At 39.3% G+C, this 27,138-nt stretch overlaps 1 protein-coding gene across 10 annotated transcripts in view; it reads left to right on the top strand.

Moving 5' to 3' along the window:
- The window catches only part of STAC (SH3 and cysteine rich domain), a 167,504-nt gene that overhangs the window by 76,817 nt on the left and 63,549 nt on the right, over window positions 1–27,138 (top strand). For 7 of the 10 annotated variants that reach the window (XR_940496.3, XM_047448767.1, NM_003149.3 and 4 more), the window contains one exon: window positions 25,672–25,772. The exons of the other annotated variants lie outside the window; for them this stretch is intronic. Coding sequence is in view for 6 of the 7 variants with exons in the window: in XM_047448767.1 (XP_047304723.1) it covers window positions 25,672–25,772 (101 nt within the window). In the remaining variant the exon portion in view is untranslated. The remainder of the gene's footprint in view (window positions 1–25,671; window positions 25,773–27,138) is intronic. 10 annotated transcript variants of the gene reach the window in all.

A 27,138-nucleotide genomic window follows, 5' to 3' on the forward strand; every position in this document is an offset into this window, starting at 1 on the left:
CTTTAAAATGAGAGCAGAAATAACAATACCTACATCATAGAATTTACTGACAACTACAGTAATACATGTGAAAGCATTTTGTGGACTATAAGACTTAAAACCTGTTCACTATTATTAAAGCTATCTTTATGTGTGAAAAGCAGGTTGATATTAACCGTATATCAAATTCCTAGGAAAGGAGTCTGGAAATAGGGAAAAGGGGTTGAGCATGAATTGGCCAGTCCATTCTTTGGAGACCTGAGGATCAATACAAATTCTTCAGCCTTGAGCTAGAAGAGCAATTCTGAAGCAAGCACATGAAATTGTGAACACTGCAGACTTCAGAAAAGAGGAGAAGAAGACAGCATAGCAGATATTATTAATACCGGGATCAGGGATGGCAAGTCCAGATGTTTCCCAGATGGTCGTGAGAAAATGATCATCCAGGAGGATACCTCCTCCTAAAACTTTAAGCAAAACACACAAAAGAGAAGAAAAGCCTACCAGCCATGGTATTAGGATGTGAACCAGTGACCCAGAGGGCAAAGGCTGTGGACTCCAACCACAAGGCCCTCAGCCAACCTAACTCTATTTGCTATTTTTAAAGCCAAGTGCGGGTGAGGGGCGGGGGAAGTAGAAAGAGTTTTTCCACTAGTAGTCAGGAACCGAAATAGGAAAGATCAACAGAGGCATTTATAAACAATGAATGCCATTAATTTTTTTAAAGCTAAGACAGGGTTGGAAAAGATGTAGTAGAGCAAGGAGTGGGGAACATAGGCAGGGAAAGATGGCCCTGGGGTCTTCACATTTTTAAAGGGTCCTTTCTGCTTGCTTGATGGCATTTCAAAAGTCACTGCTGAATTACTATATTATTGAATTTCCTGGAAAACTTGGAAACCATCTTGTTCAACTGAACTTGGACTAGGGGAGAGATGGAATGGGTTATTTTTCATTGAGGCCCCATACTAGAGTTCAACTGTGATAGAAAATATGCTCCCTTTCTTCCCCTTAAATAGAAAATTTTGTAACTATTGAGAGATATCTAAAGTTTAGGGGCAGTTTAAGTTGTAATGATCTAACTCCAAATATCAAGCTCTTTCTAAAATATCACAATGAGAAGACAGTGACAAGTAATCTAGGTCTCCCGTTGGGATGATGAGAAAGAGGGCATTTGTAAGCCCTGGTTCGAGCCATGTCTGCTTAACTTCCCAGCGTGGTGTGACAAGAAGACCATAAGACCATGAGGCTGGAGATTAGTATTTTAATTCCAGCTCTGCGTGAAGGAACAGTGTGATATCTACCAAATCACTTTGCTTCTCTGAGCCCTAGTTTATCGGTAAAATGAGAGGGTTGGCTAGATCTGGGAGGGCAAACCAACTTCCATACTAATTGATTGAAAGTGCCTCACCAAAGAAGCTTCTAAAGCTGCACCTCAATTTAGAGAAAAAATTGTCATGGATTAGAGATGTTTGTCATGTACCCCAAATGAAGGACTTCAACACGTATGTATTTGCATTTCCTAGGCTGCTGATCTATAAGCCAGGACATCTCAGAAATTTAGTGAGTATCTAAGTCACCCGGAAGTCTTGTTAGAATACACAATTCTGATTTAGTGGATCTGGTTAGGCCCTGAGATTCTGCATTCCTAACAGGGTCTCAGGTAATGCTAGTGATGCTAGTCCATGAACTACACTTTTAGTTGCAAGGCTTTAACATATCTCCCTGACAAAATTCTCTGAAACTAAAATTCAGCAAGTAACTTATAAGAGTTATGTGAAAGGCATTAGGTACTGGGGAGAGAGAAAAGGAAATACAAAATTAGTTGAGAAAAGAACTAATTTTAGTTTTTAATAACATCTTTACTTAGTTTCTTGCATACATATTCATCTAATTATTTCTTTTTTTCCCCACAGATGCTTCATATATACAGATTATCCTGGTAAATAATTGGGGATACACATAAAAACACCTGAACCAAAGCATATACAAAGTACTAGGGAAAGCCACAAGTGGAAACAATAGTTCTACCTCAGGAGGAAGAGGTCAATGAAAGTTCCATGAAGAATGTAGTATTTGAGTTGGGTATTGAAGGATGAATAGGAGTTAATGACTCTCTACCAAACTATCTACAGTTCTTAGCAGCAATATCCTGTTGTGTACCAAGAATCAAAACATCCCATATTTTCTTTAAAATAAAAGCATGACAGAATCAATTTTTAATTTTCCAGAAGTTAATACATAGTGTACAGATTGCTCTAGCTTAACCATTGTCTCTCTTTTAATGAACTCCTCATTTAGGAGGCACCATATCCAAAAGGAAAATCAAATGGTTTCATGATTTGGTTTTCGTCAGAAACAGTATTTTAAAAGACTTCTCGGCCAGTTTATTCTTTTATTCCTGATTTCCAAATTATGATAGATCAAAGAACTGGTATCTTGGCAAAACCAGAAAATCTAGCTAGAAGGTTTCAGGTAAGGCTAGTTGATGAAAGAGGGGGAGAATAACTAAGTAAAGGACACCAGACAGAAATGCAATGTCAGGTATGCATTAAGTCAGACCTCCTTTAGGATTCTAGCTCTACCACTCACTAACTAGTTAATCTAGTAACATTGTTTAAACTCTCTGATCCTCAATTTTCCATCTGTTAAGTGAGGAATAATAGCTAACTTCAAAGAACCATGTTAGAGAAAGTGTATGCAGTCTCTACTTGGCAACCTTGAGCACAGTCCTGTGTCAAGTGACCTTGATCTTTATTATCTCTCAGTTTCAACCCTTCAGGAATAAAGATGAATAGTTCTTCTATGCAAAGGAAAGAAGAGGGAATCTGTAATCAGGATACCTGTGTTCAGATCTCATCTCTGCCCCATTCTTGCCCTATAGCCTTAGACCAAGCACTTCCCTCAGCTTGGAAGAACCTGAGGAACCTCAAGCCAGGTTCCTCAGCTATTAAAAAAAATAGCTGAAAACAACTTTTGCTCTACATTGCTGGTTTTCAACTGGAGCAATTTGCCTCATACTTTAGCAAATAAAAAGATACAACACCCAGTTAAATTTGAAATTCAGATAAACGACAAATTTTTTTAATAGGTCACTGGCAATATTTGGGACACACTTGTCCCATGCAATATTTGGGAAACACTAACACACAAAAAAATTTATTATATGAAATTAAAATCTAATTGAACTTTCTGTATTTTATCTGGCAACCCTACCCCCAGGGGACATTTGGCAATTTCTGGAGATATTTATGGTTGTTACAACTGTAGGAGAAGGGGTGCTGCCGGCATTAGTGGGTAGAGGCCAGGGATGCTGCTAACTATGCACAGGGCAGCCCTGCACACATACACAGAACAAAGAATTACCAGGCCTCAGTGTCAGTAGTGCAGAGGCTGGAAAACCTCGGTCAGAAAATGTGGATTAAAAAACATGCTTTGAAGTTTATAAAGCATTGAAAACTAACTAATATGGTTAAAAGTCCATACTACCCAAAGCGATTTACAGATTCAATGCAATCCCTATCAAAATTTTCAAATGTCTTTCTCATAGATGTATAAAACACAATTCTAAAATTCATAGGAAACCACAAAAAAATCCTGAATAGCCAATTCTTCAAAAATAATAACATTTCCTTTCAAAAATATGTAGTGTTTTATTTCTTAATATAAGAAAATATGCTCACTATGGAAAATGAGGAAATATGAGTAAGCAAAAACAAGAACAAGAGGAATTACAATTCCACAATCCAGATAGACATATTATTAACATCTTGGTGTGTGCCCTGCTAGACTTTTTTACATGTATGTATATGCATATTTTGAATGAGAGTTTTCTAAATATTTTGCATGTACTTTTCAATATTTATTTTTAGAATCATTTTATGAAGTTCCCCACCCAAATCCCATTGATATTTCAACTCGAATTCTGGTAAATCTGCAGAACCACTTGAAAATTGGCATCCCTTCAAGAAATGTTTTTCTTATTTAATAAGCATGCTGAGTATTATTAATATCAGACACCTTTGCATTTTTTCAAACTTAAATAGGAATTCATTCAGCAAATACTTATGGAGTATCTCCTCTTGTGCTAAACCCTGTTCTGAACACTTGGGATGCATCAATGAACAAACCAGGCAAAGATCTTCGCTCTCAAAGAGTTGACATTTTAACTGGGGAGACGATGGATGGATGATGGATGAATGGATGGATAGAGATGAATAGATAGGTAAGAAGGTGATTGATGATAGGTAGATAGATAATTTTCTAAGGTGATAAATGATATGGAAAGAAGGAAAATGTAAAACAAACAAGAAGAGAAAGAAGTGCAGAGGCAGGGGGCAGGTTGCAGTATCACATGAGGTGGTCAGAATGAGAGTCATCAAGAAGATAATATGAGTAAATTTTGCAGAAAATGAAGGAACTCCTGGGAAGAAGCATTCCAAGTGAATGAAACAGCTAGAGCAAACCTCAAAGCAGAGCATACTTGGTGTCTTTAAGTAACAGCCACAGGCCAGTGTGGGTCTAAAACAGAGAGAATAAAGAATACAGAGTAAAGGAGCAGAGAGATCTTGTGCAACTCTGTAGGCCACTGCAAGGACTTTGGCTTTTATTCTGTAGGGTAATTAACAGGACATGGATCTAATTATACTTGCAAATGGTTGGTGTTGCTGTTATGTGAAAAATAGACTTCAATGGCGTGGGGGCGAGGATTGACGCAAGCAGAACAGTTAGGAGGCTATTACAGTAATTCAGGTAAGAGATAAAGGTACAGCAGGAAGAATAGAGACAGGGTCAGATTGTTCATATATTTTGAATGACTCCAACAGGATTGATTTTCTACATGTTGGCTGTATGGGAAAAATAGGAGATGGGGATGCTTCCAAGGTTTCTGGACTAAGCAACTTGAAAAATGGAGTTTCCATCAACTTAGATAGGGAAACTGTCTACTATAAGTTTTGGAGTACGTGAAGTTGTGTAGATTCTGGAGTATGCATTGGGGGAAAATTCAGTGTTAGTCACGTTAAAATTGAAATGTTTATTTGACAGCCAAGCCAAAAGAAATAAGTGTCAAGCAGTCAGGTGTATAAGTAGGTCTGGAGTTTGAGAGTCTTGTCTAGATTAGAGATATAATTTTGAAATAATCATCATATAAATAGTATTTAAAGGCATAAGACCTTTGGATATGAGCCAGGGAGTAAGTATAGACAGAGAAGAGGACCAATGACTGAGCCCTGGAGCCCTCCAATGTTAAAAAGTTGGGTAGAAGAGGAGGAACTAGCAAAGGGACTGGGAAGGAGTGACCAGTGTGGTAGGTGTAAGCCAAGAAAATGTGTTGTCTTCAAAGCCAAAAAGGAAAATAGATTGAGGAGAGAATGATCAGCCTTGTCAAATGTTGTTGATAGCTCAATTATGGGAAAGACTTTGACTGTGGCACTTAGCCAAGTGGATCATGGTGTCTAGTAACCTTGATGAGAGCAATTTTTGTGGATGGTAAGGAAGAGATTCTAATGTTTCCACATTACATATCATAGAAATTTATTTCACATGTGTATTCCTTATTATAATAGGGAAGTACCCTTCTGTCCCATATTTAGTCACAGTTTATGTCAGAATGAGAAGTCTATTTATATGATTGTTATAATATAACAATTTTATATGATTGTTAGGTTGACAGCTATTTTTCATAATAAGTGATCTTTGCATTCCTGGGAAAAAAAACCTGACAAGATCATGTGACTCTTCTTTCTGTACAAGGTGGACTTTGTTTTGCTAACATTGGATTTAAAATTTTTACACTTATAAGTAAGATTGATCTGTAGTTTCTCTTCTTTGCTTCGAGAAATTTTGGTTTCATTTTTAGTGCAACTTATAAAATTAATTAAGAAGCTTTTTTGTTATATTGTGCAACTTCATAGAAGGGAATTCTCTCAATGATTTGATAAAAAGCTATTCTTACAATTGTGTAGACAAGGTACCTTTTGGCAGGGGTTCCTGAAATAATTTTTCTTTTAATTTCATCCTCAGTCATTAGGCTAGTAAAGTCTTCTCTCTGTCCTCCTTGCACCTTTGATGGAATATATTGGAGCCGGGCTTTGAATCCAGGAATGTGTGGCTCTAAAATCCATCCAAAATCCTGAAACACAAGAAGCATACGTCTGTGTCTATAACAAAATCTCTCATTTTAATTTTTTTTAATTTTTTTTGGTAGTTTTTCTTTTTTTTTTTAATTATACTTTAAGTTTTCGGGTACATGTATGTGCACATCGTGCAGGTTAGTTACATATATATACATGTGCCATGTTGGTGTGCTGAACCCATTAACTCGTCATTCAACATTAGGTATATCTCCAAATGCTATCCCTCCCCCCTCCCCCCACCCCACAACAGGCCCCAGTGTGCGATGTTCCCCTTCCTGTGTCCATGTGATCTCATTGTTCAATTCCCACCTATGAGTGAGAACATGCGGTGTTTGGTTTTTTGTCCTTGCGATAGTTTACTGAGAATGATGGTTTCCAGCTTCATCCATGTCCCTCCCTACAAAGGACATGAACTCATCCTTTTTTATGGCTGCATAGTATTCCATGATGTATATGTGCCACATTCTCTTAATCCAGTCTATCATTGTTGGACATTTGGGTTGGTTCCAAGTCTTTGCTATTGTGAATAGTGCCACAGTAAACATACGTGTGCATGTGTCTTTATAGCAGCATGATTTATAATCCTTTGGGTATATACCCAGTAATGGGATTGCTGGGTCAAATGGTATTTCTAGTTCTAGATCCCTGAGGAATCGCCACACTGACTTGCACAATGGTTGAACTAGTTTACAGTCCCACCAACAGTGTAAAAGTGTTCCTATTTATGCACATCCTCTCCAGCACCTGTTGTTTCCTGACTCTTTAATGATCGCCATTCTAACTGGTGTGAGATGGTATCTCATTGTGGTTTTGATTTGCATTTCTCTGATGGCCAGTGATGATGAGCATTTTTTCATGTGTCTTTTGGCTGCATAAATGTCTTCTTTTGAGAAGTGTCTGTTCATATTATTTGCCCACTTTTTGATGGGGTTGTTTGTTTTTTTCTTGTAAACTTGTTGGAGTTCATTGTAGATTCTGGACATTAGCACTTTGTCAGATTATTTTTAATTTATTTTTTTATTTCAATAGATTTTCAGGGAACAGGTGGCTTTGGTTACATAATAAGTTCTTTAGTGGTGATTTCTGAGATTTTGGTGTACCTATTACTTGAGCAGTGTACACTGTACCAATGTGCCGTCCTTTATCCCTCACCCCTGCAAACTCTTTCCCCCAAGTCCCCGAAGTCCAATGTATCTTTCTTATGCCTTTGCCTTTTCAAAGCTTAGCTCCCACATATTAGTGAGATCATATGATGTTTGGTTTTCCATTCCTGAGTTATTTCCATTCCTGAGTTATTGGAACAATAGTCTCCGATTCCATCCAGGTTGCTATGAATGACATTATTTTGTTCCTTTTTATGGTTGAGTAGTATTCCATGGTGTGTGTGTGTGTGTGTATTTTTTTTTTTACACATTTTCTTTATCCACTAGTTGATTGATGGGCATTTGGGCTGGTCCCACATTTTTGCAGTTGTGACTTGTGCTTCTGTAAACATGCATGTGCACGTGTCTTTTTCGTATCATGACTTTTCCTCAGGGTAAATAGCCAGTACTGGGATTGCTGAATCAAGCAGTACATCTACTTTTAGTTCTTTACAGAGTCTCCACAGTTTTCCATAGTGTTTGTACTCATTTACATTCCTACCAACAGTGTAAAAGTGTTCCCTTTTCACTACATCCATACCAACATCTATTTTTTAAATGTTTTTATTATGACCATTCTTGCAGGAGTGAGGTGGTATCACATTGTGGTTTTGATTTGCATTTCCCTGATAATTAGTGATGTTGAACATTTTTTCATATGTTTGTTGGCCATTTCTATATCTTCTCTAGAGAGCTGTCTATTCATGTCCTTAACCGACTTTTTGATGAGATTGTTTATTTTCTTCCTGATTTGTTTGAGTTCCTTGTAGATTCTGGATATTAGTCCTTTGTTGGAGGTATACATTGTGAAGATTTTCTCCCATTCTGTGGGCTGTGTGTTAACTCTGATGATTATTTATGTTGCTGTGAAGAAGCTTTTTAGTTTAACTAAGTCCCATCTATTTATCTTTGTTTTTGCTGCATTTGCTTTTGGGTTCTTGGTCATGAAGTCTTTGCCTAAGCCAATATCTAGAAGGGTTTTTCCAATGTTATTTTCTAGAATATTGTATTACTCAGGGTTCTCTTAGAGGGACAGAACTAACAGTACTAAAGGGGAATTTATTAAATATTAACTTACATGATCACAAGGTCCCACAACAGGCTGTCTGCAAGCTGAGGTGCAAGGAGAGCCACTCTGAGTCCCAAAACTGAAGAACTTGGAGACCGATGTTTGAGGGCAGGAAGCATCCAGCATGGGAGAAAGAGGTAGGCTGGGAGGCTAGGCCCATCTCTCTTTTACAAATTTTTCTGCCTGATTTATATTCACTGGAAGCTGATTAGATTGTGCCCACCAGATTAAGGGTGGATCTACCTTCCCCCGCCCACTGATTCAAATGTTAATCTCTTTTGGCAACACCCACCCAGACACACCCAGGATTAATACTTTGTATCCCTCAATCCAATCAAGCTGACACTCACATTCAGTATTAATCATCATAAATATTTATGGTTTCAGGTCTTAGATTTAAATATTTGATCCATCTTAAGTTGATTTTTGTATAAGGTGAGAGATGAGGATCCAATTTCATTCTTCTACATGTGACTTGCAATTATCCCAGCACCATTTGTTGAATAGGATGTCTTTTCTCCACTGTATGTTTTTCTTTGCTTTGTCACAGAGATCAAGTGGCTGTAAGTATATGGCTTTATTTCTGGGTTCTATATTCTGTTTCATTGGTCTATGTGCCTATTTTTATACCAGTACCATGCTGTTTTGGTGACTATGGCTTTATAGTATAGTTGGAAGTTGGGTAATATGATGCTTCCAGATTTGTTCTTTTTGCTTAGTCTTGCTTTGTCTATGTGGGCTCTTTTTTGGTTTCATATGAATTCTAGGATTGTTTTTTTCTAGTTCTGTGAAGAATGGTGTTGGTATTTTAATGGGAATTGCATTGAATTTATAGATTGCTTTTGGCAATATGGTCATTTTCCCAATATTGATTAAACCCATTCATGAACATGAGATGTGTTTCCATTTGTTTGTGTCATCTATGATTTCTTTCAGCAGTGCTTTGTAGTTTTTCTTGCAGCTATTCTGGAATGGATTGAGTTCTTTACTTGATTCTCAGCTTGGTCACTGTTGGTATATAGCAGAGCTATTGATTTGGGTACATTAGGTTTGTATCCTAAAACTTTGCTGGATTCATTTATCAATTCTAGGAGCTTTTTGGATGACTCTTTAGGGTTTTCTAGGTATAGGATTGTATCATCAGCAAATAGCGACAGTTTGACTTCCTTTTTACTGATTTGGATGCCCTTTATTTCTTTCTCTTGTCTGATTGCTCTGGCTAGGTCTTCCACTACTATGTTGAATAGAAATGTTGAAAGTGGGCATCCTAGTCTTGTTCCAGTTCTCGGGGGGAATGCTTTCAACTTTCCCTTGTTCAATATAAATGTGGGCTGTGTGTCATAAATGGCTTTTATTACCTTAAGGTATGTCCCTTCTATGCTTACTTTGCTGAGGGTTTTAATCATAAAGTGATGCTGGATTTTGTCAAATGCATTTTCTGTGTCTATTGAGATGATCGTGTAATTTTCATTTTTAATTCTGTTTATGTGGTGTATCACATTTATTGACTTACATATGTTAAACCATCCCTGCATCCCTGGTATGAAACCTACTTGATCATGGTAAATTATCTTTTTAATATACTGTTGGATCTGGTTCACTAGTATTTTGTTGAAGATTTTTGCATCTATATTCATCAGGGATATTGGTCTGTAGTTTTCTTTATTTGTTACATTCTTCCCTGGTTTTGGTATTGGGGTGATTCTGGATTCATAGAATGATTTAGGGAGAATTTACTGTTTCTCCGTCTTTTGGAATAGTGTCAATAGGATTGGTACCAATTCTTTGAATGTCTCTGATAGAATTCAGCTATGAATCTGTGCGGTTCTGGACTTTTTTTGTTGGCAATTTTTTTGTTGCCATTTCAGTCTCACTGCTTGTTAATTGGTCTGTTCAGAGGTTTTATATTTTCCTGGTTTAATCTAAGAGGGTTGTATATTTCCAGGAATTTATCCATCTCCTCTAGGTTTTCTAGATTATCCACATAAAGGCATTCATAGTAACCTTGAATAATCTTTTGTATTTCTGTGGTATCAGTTGTCATATCTCCTGTATCATAGGCAATTGAGCTTATTTGGATCTTTTTTCTTGGCTAATCTCGCTAATGCTCTATCAATTTTATTTATTTTTTCAAAGAGCCAGCTTTTTGTTTCATTTACCTTTTGTATTGTTTTGTTAATATTGTTATTTCAGTTTCATTTAGTTCTGCTCTGATCTTTGTTATTTCTTTTCTTTTGCTGTGTTTGGGTTCAGATTTTTCTTGTTTCTCCAGTTCCTTGAGTTGTGACCTCAGATTGTCTATTTGGGCTCTATCAGACTTTTTGATGTAGGTATTTAAATGCTATGAACTTTCCTCTTAGCACCACTTTTGCTGTATCCCAGAGGTTTTGATAGGTTGTGTCACTATTGTCATTAAGTTCAAATAATTTTTTAATTTCCATCTTGATTTCATTGTTGACCCAACAATCATTCAGGAGCAGGTTATTTAATTTCCCTGTATTTGCATGGTTTCAAGGGTTCCTTTTGGAGTTGATTTCTAAAATCAACTGTGATCCACTGTGATCTGAGAGAGTACTTGATATAGTTTTAATTTTATTGCACTGTGATCTGAGAGAGTACTTGATATAATTTTAATTTTCTTAAATTTACTGAGACTTGTTTTGTGGCCTATCATATGGTCTATCCTGGAGAATGTTCCATGTGCTGATGAACAGAATGTATATTCTGTAGTTGTTGGGTAGAATGTTCTGTAAATATCTGTTAAGGCCATTTGTTGTAGGATATAGTTTAAGTCCATTGTTTCTTTGTTGACTTTCTGTCTTAATGGCCTGTCTAGTGTTGTCAGTGGAGTATTAAAGTCTCCCATTATTATTGTGTTGCTGTCTATCTCATTTATTAGGTCTAGTAGTAATTGTTTTATAAATGTGGGAGCTCCTGTGTTAGGTGCACATATATTTATATATATATTTATATATTTATAGGTGCATATATATTTATATGCACCTGCTGTTATATTTAGGATTGTGATACTTTCCTGTTGGACTAGTCCTTTTATCATTATATATATAAAATACATATATATGTATATATATATAAAATACATATATGTGTGTGTGTGTGTGTGTGTGTTTGTGTGTGTTTATATTTAGAATTGTGATATTTTCCTGTTGGACTAGTTCTTTTATCATTATATAATGTTCCTCTTCTTCTTTTTTAACTGCATTTGCTTTAAAGTTTGTTTTGTCTTATGTAAGAATAGCTACTCTTGCTCACTTTTGGTGTCCAATTGCATGTAAAATCTTTTTCCACCCCTTTACCTTAAGTTTATGTGAGTCCTTATGTATTAGCTGAGTCTCCTGAAGACAGCAGAAACTTGGTTGGTAAATTCTAATCCATTCTCCCATTCTGTATATTTTAAGTGGAGCATTTAGGTCATTTACATTCAATGTTGGTATTGAGATGTGAGATTCTATTCTATTCATCGTGCTATTTGTTGACTGAATACCTTTTTTTTCATTGTGTTATTGTTATATAGGTCCTGTGAGATTTATGATGTAAGGAGGTTCTATTTTGGTGTATTTCAATGATTTGTTTCAGGATTGAGAGGTCCTTTTAGCAGTTCTTGCAGTGCTGGCTTGGTAGTGGCTAATTCTCAGCATTTGTTTGCCTGGAAAGACTGTATCTTTCCTTCATTTATGAAGCTTAGTTTTGCTGGATAAAAAATTACTGGCTGATAATTGTTCTGTTTAAGGAGGCTACAAATAGGACCTTAATCCCTTCCAGCTTATAAGATTTGGGCTGAGAAATCTGCTGTTAATCTGATAGGTTTTCATTTATAGGTTATCTGATGTTTTTGACTCAAGGATTCTTTCCTTTGTCTTGACTTTACATAAACTGATGACAATGTGCCCAGGCAATGATCTTTTGTGATGAATTTCCCAGGTGTTCTTTGAGCTTCTTGTATTCAGATGTCTAGATCTCTAGCAAGGCCAGGGAAGTTTTCCTTGATTATTCCCTCAAATATGCTTTCTAAACTTGTAGATTTCTCTTCTTCCCCGGGAAGCCCAATTACTTTCAGGTTTGGATGTCCCAAACTTCTTGGAGTCTTTGTTCATTTTTTTTTTATTTTTTTTTATTTTTCTTTGATGGATTGGGTTAATTCGAAAGCCTTGTCTTCAAGCTCTGAAATTCTTTCTTGTGCTTGTTTGATTCTATTGTCAAGACTTTCCAGTGCATTTTGCATTTTTTTAAGTGTCCTTGATTTTCAGAAGTTGTGATTGTTTTTCATTTATGCTACCTATTTCACTGAACAATTTTGCATTCATATCCTGTATCATGTTTTTTATTTCTTTAAGTTGGAGTGAACCTTTCTCTGGTGCCTCCTTGATTAGCTTAATAATTGACCTGAATTTTTTTTCTGGCAATTCAGAGATTTCATCTTGGTTTAGATTCATTACCAGTGAGCTGGTATGATCTTTTGGAGGTGTTAAAGAACCTTGTTTTGTCATATTACCAGAATTGTTTTTCTGGTTCTTTCTCATTTGAGTAGACTATGTCAGAGGGGAGATTTAGGATTCAAGGGCTGCTGTGAGATTCTTTTGTCCCACGGGGTGCTCCCTTGATGTGGTATTCTCCTGTTTCCCCTAGGAATGGGGCTTCCTGAAAGCCAAACAGTAGTGATCATTTTTGCTTTTCTGAGTCTAGTCAGCCAGCAGAGCTACCAGGCTCCAAGCTGGTACTGGGGAGTATCTGGAAAGAGTCCTGTGACGTGATCCATCTTCGGTCTTTCAGCTATGGATTCCAGCACCGGCTCCAGTGGAGGTAGCTGGGGAGTGAAGCGGACTCTGAGTCCTTGGTTATGTTTCTGTTTATTGCACTGGTTTTGTGTTGGTTGGCCTCCAGCCAGGAGGTGGCACCTTCAAGAGCACATCAGCTTTCATCAGTTTTTCATGTGTCAGGGAGTCTGTAGCAGTGATCCAGTTTCTTCGAAAGGTCTATTGATTCTCTCAGCTTTCCTGGTATGCTCCTGTGGTAGTTCTTAGAGCAAAAGTTCATGATGTGAGTCTGCACAAGCTGCTGTCTCCCCAAGTGGGATCTGCAAGCTAGTCCTGCCTCCTGTCTGCCATCTTCAAAATCTCCCATTTTAAATGCTATCAAAAATGACTGCCAATGATTTCTCCCAAGAGGCTGATCTTGCCAGATTTTGAAGTTCATGAAGTATGGCCAGAATTCTTGATTTGGTGCAAAAATTTTCACGTTACCTACTTTTATGTTTAAAGTGAACTTTTATAAAGCAAGGATCAACTTAATTGCTTATAAATTAAGATATAAGGGAGGAATTTGGAAGTTGTTTATAGTGGAGAGTAGAGTGCTGTCTATAGACCTGTTGTATTAGTCCATTTTCATGATGCTGATAAAGACATACCCGAAACTGGGAAGAAAAAGAGGTTTAATTGGACTTACAGTTCCACATGGCTGGGGAAGCCTCAGAATCATGGCAGGAGGCAAAAGGCACTTCTTACATGGCAGCAGCAAGAGAGAATGAGGAGGAAGAAAAAGCAGAAACCCCTGATAAACCTATCAGTTCTCGTGAGACTTATTCACTATCACAAGAATAGCAAGAGAAAGACCAGCCCCCATGTTTCAATTACCTCCCACTTGGTCCCTCCCACAACACATGGGAATTCTGGGAGATACAATTCAAGTTGAGATTTGGATGTGAGCACAGCCAAACCATATCATTCCACCCCTAACCCCTTCCAAATCTCATGTCCTCACATTTCAAAACCAATCATGCTTTCCCAACAGTCCCCCAAAGTCTTCACTCATTTCAGCATTAACCCAAAAGTCCACAGTTCAAAGTCTCATCTGAGACAAGGCAAGTCCCTTCCGCCTATGAGCCTGTAAAATCAAAAGGGAGCTAGTTACTTCCTATAATGGGGGTACAGGTGTTAGGTAAATATAGCTGTTCCAGATGGGAGAAATTGGCCAAAACAAAGGAGTTAAGGGCCCATGCAAGTCCAAAATTCAGTGGGGCTGTCAAATTTTAAAGCTCCAAAATGATCTCCTTTGACTCCAAGTCTCATATCCAGGCCATGCTGATGCAAGAGGTGGGTTCCCATGGTCTTGGGCAGCTCTGCCCCTGTGGGTATGCAGAGTACACCCTCCCTCCCAGCTGCTTTCATAGGCTGGCATTCAGTGTCTGCTACTTTTCCAGGCACACGGTGCAAGCTGTCAGTGGATCTACCATTCTGGAGTCTTGAGGATGGTGGCCCTCTTCTCACAGCTCCACTAGGCAGTGCCCCAGTAGGGACTCTGTGTGGGACTCTGTGTGGGGTCTCCCACCCCACATTTCCCTTCTGCATTGCCCTGGCTGAGGTTCTCCATAAGGGCCCCGCCCCTGCAGCAAACTTTTGCCTGCACATCCAGGCGTTTCCCTACATCTTCTGAAATCTAGGCGGAGGTTCCCAAACCTCAGTTCTTGACTTCTGTGCACCCACAGGCTCAACACCACATAGAAGCTGCCACGGCTTGGGGCTTCCACCCTCTGAAACCACAGCCCAAGCTCTACATTGGCCCCTTTCAGCCATGGCTGGAGTGACTGGGACACAGGGCACCAAGTCCCTAGCGTGGGGGCCCTGGGCCCGGCCCACGAAACCACTTCTTCTTCCTGTGCCTCCAGGCCTGTGATGGGAGGGGCTGCCATGAAGACCTCTGATATGCCCTGGAGACATTTTCCCCATGGTCTTGGGAATTAACACTGGGATCCTTGCTACTTAAGCAAATTTCAACAGCCAGCTTGAATTTCTCCCCAGAAAATGGGTTTTTCTTTTCTATAGCATAGTGCGGCTGCACATTTTCTGAACTTTGATGCTGTTTCCCTTTTAAAACTGAATGCTTTTAACAGCACCCAAGTCACCTCTTGAATGCTTTGCTGCTTAGAAACTTCTTCCACCAGATACCCTAAATCATCTTTCTCAAGCTCAAAGTTCCACAGATCTCTAGGGCAGGGGCAAAATGCCACCCAGTCTCTTTGCTAAAACATAACAAAAGTCACCTTTGCTCCAGTTCCCAACAAGTTCCTCATCTCCACCTGAGACCACCTCAGCCTGGATCTTATTATCCATATCGCTATCAGCATTTTGGGCAAAGCCATTCAACAAGTCTTTAGGAAGTTCCAAACTTTCCCACCTTTTCTTGTCTTCTTCTGAGCCCTCCAAACTGTTCCAGCCTCTGCCTATTATGCAGTTCCAAAGTCACTCCCACATTTTCAGGTATCTTTTCAGCAATGCCCCACTCTACTGGTACCAATTTACTGTATTAGTCTGTTTTCATGCTGCTGATAAAGACATACCTGAAACTGGAAACAAAAAGAGATTTAATTGGACTTATAGTTCCACATGGCTGGAGAAGCCTCAGAATCATGGCGGGAGGCAAAAGGCACTTCTTACATGGCAGCAACAAGAGAAAATGAGGAGGAAGCCAAAGCAGAAACCCCTGATAAACCCATCAGATCTCATGAGACTTATTCACTATCACAAGAATAGCACAGGAAAGACCGGCTGCATGATTCAATTACCTCCCCCTGGGTCCTTCCCACAACACATGGGAATTCTGGGAGATACAATTCAAGTTGAGATTTGGGTGGGGGCACAGGCAAACCATATAGCCTGTGCTTTATCTGAGGTCATGCCTGATCACAGGTGACATACCTGAGTTAGCTATGTGCAGTTCAGCCTAAAGAATCTGGAAATCATGACCTCAGGAAAATCACTATGGGGAATTGCAGATGATACACCCTCTAGCCATCACACCACTTACTTTTGCATGGAGATGTATGTTTTCCAAAGAGACGGCCCCTTCATTTTCCCATTTTGTGCTCATGACAGCCTTTCTCAGATGCACAGACTGAGGCTCAGAGATCAAGTGCCTGGTTCAAAGTCTCAGAGCTGAATACTATTACCTAAGTTTGTTGATGCCTTAAGCATGACTTTTACCACTCCGCCATGGTGTCTTTATAAACTATATATGTATGTACATACACATACATATTCACATATGAACACCCAAATATAATATAATTTATACATAGAGGTTTTAAAAATTGGTAAAACTGTTATCCTACTTTTTTTACTTCTGTATTCCTACATTTGAACTTCGTCACCCTGGCTTCACTCTTCGAAGCTTTTAAAAGAATCAACAAAGCCGAGAACATTGTTTTTATTAAATAAGGACTTTCATCAATATCATTTTAAAAAACAAAAATAAGCCCCTGAATAGGTAGGTGTGTGACAAAACTAGAAAGAGCAGCATACACTTACATTGGCTACTGCATCTGCACCTTTAACTTCTAATATGTTAGTGATAGTGTATGTAATCACCAGCTTGGAGGGCTTAGCAATAGCGTGTGCATGCTACATATTTTCAAAGGCCTATACTGGGCTGTAGTATATATAGTGGGCTGTAGAACCTTATAGGAATCTATTATGGGTACCCACATCCCTACAGCAGCTGGCCACCCTGAAAATTCCTGTTCACATTTGTCAACTATGAGACCCCATATGTAACCCATCACAAATGTGATGAGAATCACATTTCTCTTCCAAAGAGACAAATGTCCCTTCCAAAGAGGGTATTGGGCCAGGATAGTTGCAGCCCCAGAATCTTCTAAGGTAAACTTTTGGCACCTGCAAACTCTTGCTACTTCTCTCTCAACTTCATCCTCATTGACCATGGTTACATATACATATTTTAATTTTATCTTTATCATAGACAGTGTTGAGAGACCCACAGATGCCCTTTCACTTTCAGTGGAAGAAATCTAGACCAGAACAGAGTAGAGATCTCTCAGCGTGCAGATGGCTGGCAGAGGCAATGAGGAGAAGGGAAGTGAGCTGGGCTTCAGAGTTGTGTAGACCCAGACCCTAGTCCTGTTCCTGTCCTCACTAGCTGCATATTGTTGGGCCTTCATACACAACCTATAAAAATAAAGCAATGGAAATGCCACACAGACTGCTGAGATCATAAGAGGAGAGAAAAGTTTCAATATGAGCTCCACAGCCAGTGAATTATATACCCATCCCAACTCAACATTTATTCATTCTTTCCAATGAAGTTATCTATTATCCCTACTTCCCTGTTATAATAATATTTTAACTATAAAAGGTAATGTTCTTTTATTAATAAAGCGAGGAAGCATCCAGGAAATTGCCTAATGGTGCATAAGAGTTCAATCATTTTTAATCCCTTCCTACCTTTTTTCCTTCCTATTCAAATGTAAGAATACAGAAGTAAAAAAGTAGAATCAGGATGAAAATTCAAGTTTCTGACTTCTCATACAATGGCTTTTCTCGTGTGTGTGTGTGTGCGCGCGCGCACGCATGTGTGTTTGTATATCCACTGACAAACTCTTTCAAACTTAGTTTGATTTTTTCCTCAATTCATTTTTTTTCTTTCAAATTACCCTTTGTCTATATGAGAAGGGGAAAAATCATGCTCAGTGGCTTCATTTGGTTTAGCTAGCTTTGTGTGATTTCAGAATCTTAGAAATTGTCTCCACATCATTACTTCACATCAAAGAGAAGTAGCATGTGAAAGTAATGAAAATACATCATGTTATTTTTTTTTTTAATTCTACTATGGAGCATTGACTTCTTCAAATCATCGTGATTTCTTAGATTTTGAAGCCACAGATTTCAATAATGGCACTAAGGATGTATAATTTATGCATTCCTTTGATTGTGGAACTCAATATTCCAAACATGTGATCATTCAGGCCATTATTTATGTGTTTAGTCAGTTGCCTTTGCATTGAATCACTACATGAAACTATGGCTAAATTGTTATGCTTCCACACTCCTATTATTACATGTGTTTAGGTATATGATGGCAGGCATTTCTGGGTTATATATGTGAGGTAAAAGCAGTAACAGAAATCTGAAGCATCTGTCAGGATAACTAAGCATTCACAGAGGCTGTCGTGGGTCACCCGGGGAGGCATGGTGAAAACTCATTCTATAAGGAGGAGGCAGAGGCCAACACAAGCTATTAATAGGGAGAGAAGTCCACAAGCAAAATTATAAAGGTCAAGAGGCACAGCTAACTTAGTTCTTGTCCAGATAGATTTCAACATCTACTTTGAGGAGAGTAGGAGGATATGAAGAGCCAGTAGCAGAGACAGAGAGAGTGGCTCCCAGAATCAGCTTTCAGCCAGCATCCTAGGTCAGGCAGGAGTCTGATGGAACAGTATCTGGCCTGCACTTCAGGGTACCTGGGAGGTTGGAGAGTTCTAGATGCAGTCACATTAGAACATTGGAATAAAAAGCAAGGCTAGCCAGCTGGAAGCCCATACATAAAGACCTGTAGGCAGACTTGAACCTGGTGGTCATGCAGGCCTCCAGGAGTCAGGGGCCACGTAAAGAAGTCCATGTCTTTCCATAGAATTAAAGGGGCGAAGCCCCAGTATTCTCTTGGCCTGGACATTTGTCCTGCCCAGGCCTGGGTAGGCTAATCTTTCCTGATGGACAGTGATGTACTTTGTACCAAGCACTTCACTGACCACAGGGACCCAGAGGTAAAGAAACCACCATTTCATGTCAAGTCCCACATAATAGAAGAGGAGATGTCCTGTTGTAATAGGTGCTCTGAGAACGATGAGGGGACAGAGAAGAGTGGTGGGTTCCCTGTGGAGGGAAGGAGGGTGTGTGTGCAGGAGGCTTTGGAAAGTACTTAGAGGTGGTTCATAGAAAGTAAGACTGTTTACCAGTCAAACAAGAAAGGCAGGGAAGGCAGCATGAGCCGCCCTCAAGAGGCGTGACCCAGCCACCCTTACCAGAAACCATAAATGATCTGATAAAGCAAAGGAGGAACCCAAGGTTTCATGTTGAAAATGAAGCAAGGAAAGTAGGGAGGGGTTGCATGGTGGAGACCTGCTTCAGTGATCTCCATGTGATTCTGTTTCTTCCTTGTGTTAGTGTATATTCAAGGACAAACCGCTGATGAATAGAGCTAACTGCATTATTAGGCCTGTTTTTATTGTCTAGCACCAGTTTTGTTATAGCCTTTAGTTTAAAAGTACTGACTCTGTCATCATTATTACTGTTTGCATCATCCTTAGCCCTTAAATTCCTCTTGTCTGCCTTGGCACTGAAAATTATCCATTGCTTTTGCTCTCCTCTCTCCAGCTTTAAGACCCTTCTGTGACATGATCATTTGACCTTCTCTGGGCTCTGCACAACTTTTGATGCAGGCATCCCTCACAGCCTCCTCTCCGAGCCATGCCCCTGTACTGGTGGACGTTGAGAGGAGTCCAATAGCTAAACCTGGAAAAGCAGAGGCCTAGAAATTCTTTGGACTATCTTGCCTGTATTTACCTTAGAATCACTTATAGATACTTTATATAATCTAAGTAATATTTATGGACATTTCTATATATGTAGTTACAGATTTTTAAAAAATTTTTTCTTAAATCATAGTAAAGAGTCTTTTTTCTCTAATTTATACTAATTTCATCAAATAAATTATAGGACTAATTTTATACTTGTGTAATCTGGAAGCAGACTAATTATTAACAAGAATTTTAACTGTTGTTCATTGTTGATCTAAGTACTGTACTGATTACATTTCTTTTCTTATACAAGTTTATGTTTACTCATTCTCCAAATTATTTTTGTAGTTAAGTAATCTCAATAGTAAATCACCATTTTATCCTGTTTTATCTTTAACTCTGACATTTATGAAATTGGATTGAGGATTAAGCAATGCTTCAATGGCAAAATCTTATCAAAATGAGTCCAGCCAATTATTTTACAGATATATGTAATTAATTTCATTTTTTAAAAAAAAAAAGTTGATGCATGCTATTTAGTGTAGTAGGTTCAGCCACCAGCACTGAGAAAAGCTTTTCAATATTTTCTTCCAACATTTATGTACAGATGTCTTTGTGCTCCAATATTTGGCTCTCTGTGGACAGCTTGCTTAAGCATAGTGGTAAATGATACCACGCTCATAAAAGAGCCCACTGCCTACCTCCTAATCAGTGTTGTATTGGATTACATTGATCCATTCCAAACTCTATTTGAACATCGTGACTAAAATTTTTAATAATTTTCAGCTGTAACTCATAAAACTGTTTTAATTTAGCCCAGAACTTCAAATGCCCCGGGAAGAACTGATGACTTATGTGATGAGCTAGCCCCATGTTTTCGCAACATCTCCGTATCCAAAGAGCCACATCATTCCAAGGGATGACTTGACCCTGTTTCCAGAGACTTCATTTTTTAATCTGCTTTTTGTGACAGTAGTTCATGAGAATAGTTTAAAGGCAGATAGTACTGAAAGTTCTACAACAGAAACTGTCTCGTCCCAGATTCGCGTCTGAAAGGCAACCACTTTTGTCCTCTTTCATTGCTTCTTCTGTCATTTATTTCAGCATTCCTAAATGCTGTGCTTCTGCTGCTGTTTATTGATTTTGTTGGCCTCCTGCTACAGAAGATGAGGGTTGAGCTCTCACATCTCCAGCAACACCCTTTGTTTCTTTCTTCCTTGTTGTCACCTTCCACAAAGAGTCATATCACAATCTTTGCTCCCTTACTTCCATCTTCCCAAGAGTTTTATCACAATTTTGTGATACATGGCCAATTTATGCCCTATTGTGACTATTGTTAACTTCTGATTCAAGTATTGTACATTTCTTACAATCTTAAACATATTTTATTTTTCCTCAAATTAAAAATTGCCTTTTTTACTTCCTAAACATTTCATGTATCTATAATTATTTTTTTCATATGCCTTCACAGATTTGTCAAATGACATATCATATACTCAAAGGTATCAATAAACTTTTATTTATTTATTTACTTATTTTATTGAGACGGAATCTCACTCCGTCACTGAGGCAGGAGTGCAGTGGCACAATCTCAGCTCACTGCAGCCTCTGTCTCCTGGGTTCAAGTGATTCTCATGCCTCAGTCTCCCGAGTAACTGGGACTACAGGCACACGTAACGATGCCCGGCTAATTTTTGAATATTTAGTAGAGATGGGTTTTTTGGCCAGGCTGGTTTCAAACTCCTGACCTCAAGTGATCTGCCCACCTCAGCTTCCCAAAGTGCTGGGATTACAGGCATGAACCACCGCACCCGGCTAGTTTTTGAATTTGTAGTAGAGATGGAGTTTCACCATGTTGCCCAGACTGGTCTCTAACTCCTGGCCTCAAACTCCTGGCCTCCACCCATCTTGGCCTCCCAAAGTCCTGGGATTATACACATGAACCACTGTGTCTGGCTATCAATAAACTTTTAAGTGCTATTTTTTTCCAAGTCTGCTGCCTTACTTCTTTTGACGCTCCAGTGTACAGGTACTACAGAGTTATCATAGTGGGATACCGCTTACCTTTCCTCAGTGTCAGTTGTCAGTTCTTCTGTTATGTACTGGATCTGATATTTTCCTCTGTCTTGATTTAGTCTCTCATTTTTCTGAGTCATATTCTCTAGAAATTTCCTAAGAAAACGTATGTGTAAAGTAAATATTCTGAACCCCTCAAGATTGGAAAATATCTTTATTCTACCTTCATACATGTTAATAATTTGGCTGGGTATAAAATTCTGGGTTGCAAATCTTTTTTTTTCTCAGAAAATTTTAACAGCTTCTGAAATTTCATCTTCTTCTAGTTTCCAAGTTGCTACTGAGAAATTCAATCTTCCTATCATCTATTAAGTTGCTTACCGTATCTCCACTTGCCTTTTATCTTCCAAATATATGTTAAACTCTCATCTACTCTTGCTATTTCTCCCAATAACTTTGTTCTTCAGAGTATATGCTTTGTTTTTAAATTCCTGGACTGTAATTTTAGTAGGGTGTTGGTAGGACTAAGTGGGAAATTTATATGAACAGTCCACCATTGTTTACCCAAAGTTCAGTGGCATCTTTGTTTCCAGGTATTTAAACCCATGCAATCCTTTTGCATAAATTATCATACTATTCTATTAGCAACTCTGAGAGTAGGTAGTACTAGTCCCATTTAATGATTTAGCTGAGGTTCCAGAAATACTAGTAGTTTTCTTAAATTTAAAGAGCCAGACTGAGACAGATTCAAATTTAAAACTATGTTTTTTCCTACTCTACTCAGGCATAAGGGTCACTTGCAGCAATGACTTTGTGATGGGGATCACTAGTGATAAAACAAGTCAGACCATGGCTTCTCCATATCTTGCTACAATAAACTAATGCCACTGCTGTGATGTGAATTATTCCTTTGAACTATTCTCTGAGCTGCAGAACACAAGCTTTCCTCTTCAATCATTCTTGTTATTCCAGAGTGGACATTGAAACATCAGAAACCAAATAATTGCTGGTAGTCTGGTTCATACAAACAGTGTACTACATGTATAAGAACAGACAAGGAAACTGAAATCATGGTGTTTGGGTCTGAATAAAATATATATATTTTAACATATAATGATGCTATTTCAGAGTCCAGCACACAATGAAATAACTTCCTCTTTGAAGCTTTTACTTAAATTCCCACATAGAGCACAAATAGCATTCTCTAATTTGAAAACGAAAAGTAAGTAATTGCTTTCAAAGTCCAGTCTTTTAAAAACATAGCAGTCTTTCAGCTAAGTAGTTATTCTCAAAAAGGAAAAGGGACTTTTCAATGAGTATTTATAAACAAGCATACATGCCCAATAATTTATAGTGTGTTTATGTGTCACTTCAACTTTCTGTGAAGTGATTATGACAGCAGACACACATCATGTTAAATGATGCCATCCTGAAGAAAGTTTTCAGGTAACATACCTCCTGAAGGGTTTTAAACTCTTTTCTCATTCAGAGGTTTGCCTGTTGCTTTTCCAGGTTGCATGCCAGGTTCTTACCCCCCCTTATTTTATCATCCAGTTAGCCCCAACGTCATCTTCATGTAGGTTAAACAACCCAAATAAAAGGAGGAAATATTTAGGACAAGCAATGAAAGAGTGAAACTAGGCAGGACCTTCTCCAACCTGGGGCAAATCTTCTACCACTTGGACCCTTAGGTATCTCATCTTTGAAATGAAATAATACAAATAGATCTTCAAGTTCCCCCTTTCAGCTCTTGAATACTATTTATGCATCGTTGATTAATCAACTTCCACGAATTATCTCAAACCAGCCACCACTGCTTCAGTTCATGAGTGACCATGAAAAATGTTTTCATCAGGCATCATGCTCAAGAGCTGGGAATATCGAGGCAAATTAACAGACACAGTCCTTAGCCTCATTGAGTTCATGGTCCAGAGGGAAAGGCAGACTAAAACAAACTTTCAAATAAATAATAATTGTGATAAATGATGTGAAAGATAACCACAGAGTGTTGGGAGAAAAAGTAAGAGGAAAAGGATAATTTAGACAGGGGTGGGAAATGTTTTCAAGAAAGCTTCATTGAAATGCCAAGAGATCCACAGACTGAGGGGTTGCTAGCCAACTGAAGAGTGATGGAAACAGCATTCCAAGCATATGAAGCAGCATGTGTAGAGAGCTGAGGAATTAAAGAGCTCGAGTATTCAAGGAACTATAAGAAGACCACATGGCTAAAGCATGGAGGGATTGGCCTGAGATTAAGTTAAAGGTGGGCTCCCAAAGCCTGCAGAGCCTCGCCAGTATGATGAGCACCTTATAATACATCAGAAAGGCAGAGAGAACCTGCTGAAAGATGTTTAAGCAAGAAATAGAGATGATTTGATTACATTTTTAAAACATTACCCCACCACTGCACACACATTGAGTTGGAGGAGGACAAAAAGAGATGAAGCAGTGAGACTGGCTAGATGGTGAAGCAATTGTAGAGAAGAGGGTGGATTTTGTAATCTTGGGACATCCTCACTTTGGGTCTGTGGATGGCTGTGCTGTACAGTGGGGTATCTTGACTTCATGTCTCATACTACCTGGACATATTCATTCCTGTATCTCCCCTCTAAAGAGACTTACTTTGTTGAAATCCTGTTGTCTCTCCAGGTTGTCATCTTGCATAGCATTCTACATAATCCATATCTGATCCATGAGAATCACATACTTGTTGGACTCACCAACCCTTTTCCTAACAATCTTTTGGAGTGCAGGCCTTGTTCACACAGCTGTCTCCTCAGTAGGCTGACAGGACCCCTGGCCACCCACGTCTCTTATTTTTAGTTTTTTCCAAGAATGGGTATGGCCACAGCCATATGTCCCACAGACTCACATAGGTCAAGCTGTTAAAATAGTCTCCTTGAAACCCTCTCAGGACTGAGGAGACAACAGAGCACACCCCATCCTTCTCATCATGGTAAAGGAGGAGGGATAAGACTGATAGTGCCTCAACAACTCTGCAAAGAAATACTCTCTCCACTACCTCACCTTTCTTCCTCTTTTCTAATACATGAGATGCTTGGTCATCTAAGAGTGGCAAAAATACATTTTGGCACCTTTTTGAGACTTGCCTGGGAACCTACCATCTTACTTTGGGATATCAGAGCAGATGGCATTCTCTTGTCTGTGACTAGATGAAGGCAGAACACACCCATTTTAACATCCGTCTTAAGCTTTATCCAGCCACTTTCTGAAATAATGAACACCGGTGTGCAGCACCTGCCATCTTCCTGAAGCCCCCACACCCTGCCCTCTTATTAGGCCTCCCAGTTCCTCTCCAGTGCTCCTGCCTTGGGCCTTTGTGCATGAAGATACCAGGATGGCTCTCTGCCTTTTCTTCTCAGCCTTCTTTCTTCTCACTCCATGATAGCACCCTGTCCCAAGAAGCTAAGTGACTCACCGCAGCCACAATTTCATTATCATTCGCATCTTCTTCCTCTTTCCCCAGGCTGGGGTTGGCATCTGATTGAGTCCTCTCTCCCCTTCTTTAGAAGACTGTCAGCCCCACTCTCACACAGACCTGCCCTTCCCCCTTAATCAGTCATTTTCCTGAGAATTTATCCAACGGCTCAGTTCCTGTGATAGAAATACAGAAGAAAATACATCAAATTTCGGGACTTGCACTACTCAGTAAGACACAGAAAAGTAGAATTGAGTAACCTACATGAAAAGCAAAGAAAATGGAATTCACTAGCTTGAATTGAGAGAACAAAGGGCATGGAGGAGGCTTAGAGTTCCTGGAGTAGTGAATAGGAAAGATGGAGATAAACCAGAGTGTATACCTTAGGTAGAAAATGCAGGAGAAAGCAAAAGAATCTACCATATATATTTTTTTTCTATTTTGAAAGCTTCATGAAAAAGTTGTAGGAAAGAATTACCTGGGGAACCTCATTTTCTGTGATTTTAGACTAATCAGCAGGAAATGGCAGGTTGTATCCTAACCAAAGTTTGCCATGTACCTGACAGGAACAAATGCTAAGCATGGACTGCGCTGCAAAGCCTGTAAGATGAGCATCCACCACAAGTGCACAGATGGCCTGGCACCCCAGCGGTGCATGGGCAAGCTGGTAAGGGCTTGTGCCAGGAGTGAGGCCCACACCTCTCTGCTAGGGCACTTGCCTGCTGCAGTGAGATCACCCCCTCCAAAATCCTTCCCTGAAACCCTGAGCAAAGCACCCCAGAACTGGCTGCCAGCTTGGCTTCCTAATTGGCGTAATCAGAAAACAAGGACAAGGGCTTTGTCAACCCAATCAACAATGCCCCACCTTGAAAGGGAGTCAGGGTCATTAACAGAGTGACCAACTTCTCCCAGGTTGGCACTTTCTCAGTTTTAATACTGAAAGTCCCACATCCTGGGTCTGTTCAGGTTTTAAAAGTGAAAGTCATGCATCTCAGGAACCCCCTAAGTCCCAGGCAAACTAATGGTTGGTCACTCTAGTGCTTCCTTGGTGGTCAGCTCAGTGGGTAGCAAGAGAGGACAAGAGCTAAGCCCCCACAAAAGAGGAGAGAGTAATAAATATCTGCACCACTTTAACAGAATCTCCCAAACCAAGGGAGATTGAATGGCCCTTGAGATGGCTGATCATACCATCTCAGGAGGATGGGCTTCAGTCCTGGTGCCACATATTGATTAAGAGGCAATTCAAGCCAGGCACAATGGCTCACGCCTATAATCCCAACACTTTGGACACCAAGGTGGGTTGATCCCTTAAGCCCAGGAGTTCGAGACCAGCCTGGGCAACATGGCATGACCCTGTCTCTACAAAAATTTAAAAATTAGCTGAGTGTGGTGGTGTGTGCCTGTAGTTCCAGCTACTCAGGAGGCTGAGATTAGAGGATCGCTTGAGCCCAGAAGGCAGAGGTTTCAGTAAGCCATTATTGCGCAACTGTACTCTAGCTTGGGTGACAGTGAGAACCTGTCTCAAAAATTTTTTTTCAAAAAGCAATCCAGAGCGCATTTGAGGGTGTTTGAAACTAGGATGGCCAAAGAATTGTAGAAAGGACGAAGAATGTCTACCCTAGAGAATAATTAGACAGGACATCAACAGCTGTCTTCAACAATTTTAGACCTAAAATTTAGAAGAGTAACTCCATTGTCCTTTGAGGCTCCTGGGGAAAGACCTAAGATCAGTGGATACTAAGTCTTAACAATAAAAGATAATGTCTTGCTTCCAGGGTTAGTGAATGCTCCTTCACCCCCTCCCATCACTGACAGTGTAACGACAAGGGACACCACTTTCCAGGAACATTAGACAGGATTCTGGAATTCTAGAAGGGACTGGGCCACCAAGTTCCCATCCAGTAATGGAGTACAGTCAAGTCCAGGTTCTTAGTTTATCTATTTACTCTGATTTGCAATGTCTCTTTTCTCAAACCTCTGCCTCCCCTGCTTCCCCTTCTCCTTCTCCAGTGGTGATTCCCATAAGCCAAGAC

This window comes from Homo sapiens, chromosome 3, assembly GCF_000001405.40.
Source record: "Homo sapiens chromosome 3, GRCh38.p14 Primary Assembly".
Classification (NCBI taxonomy): domain Eukaryota; kingdom Metazoa; phylum Chordata; class Mammalia; order Primates; family Hominidae; genus Homo; species Homo sapiens.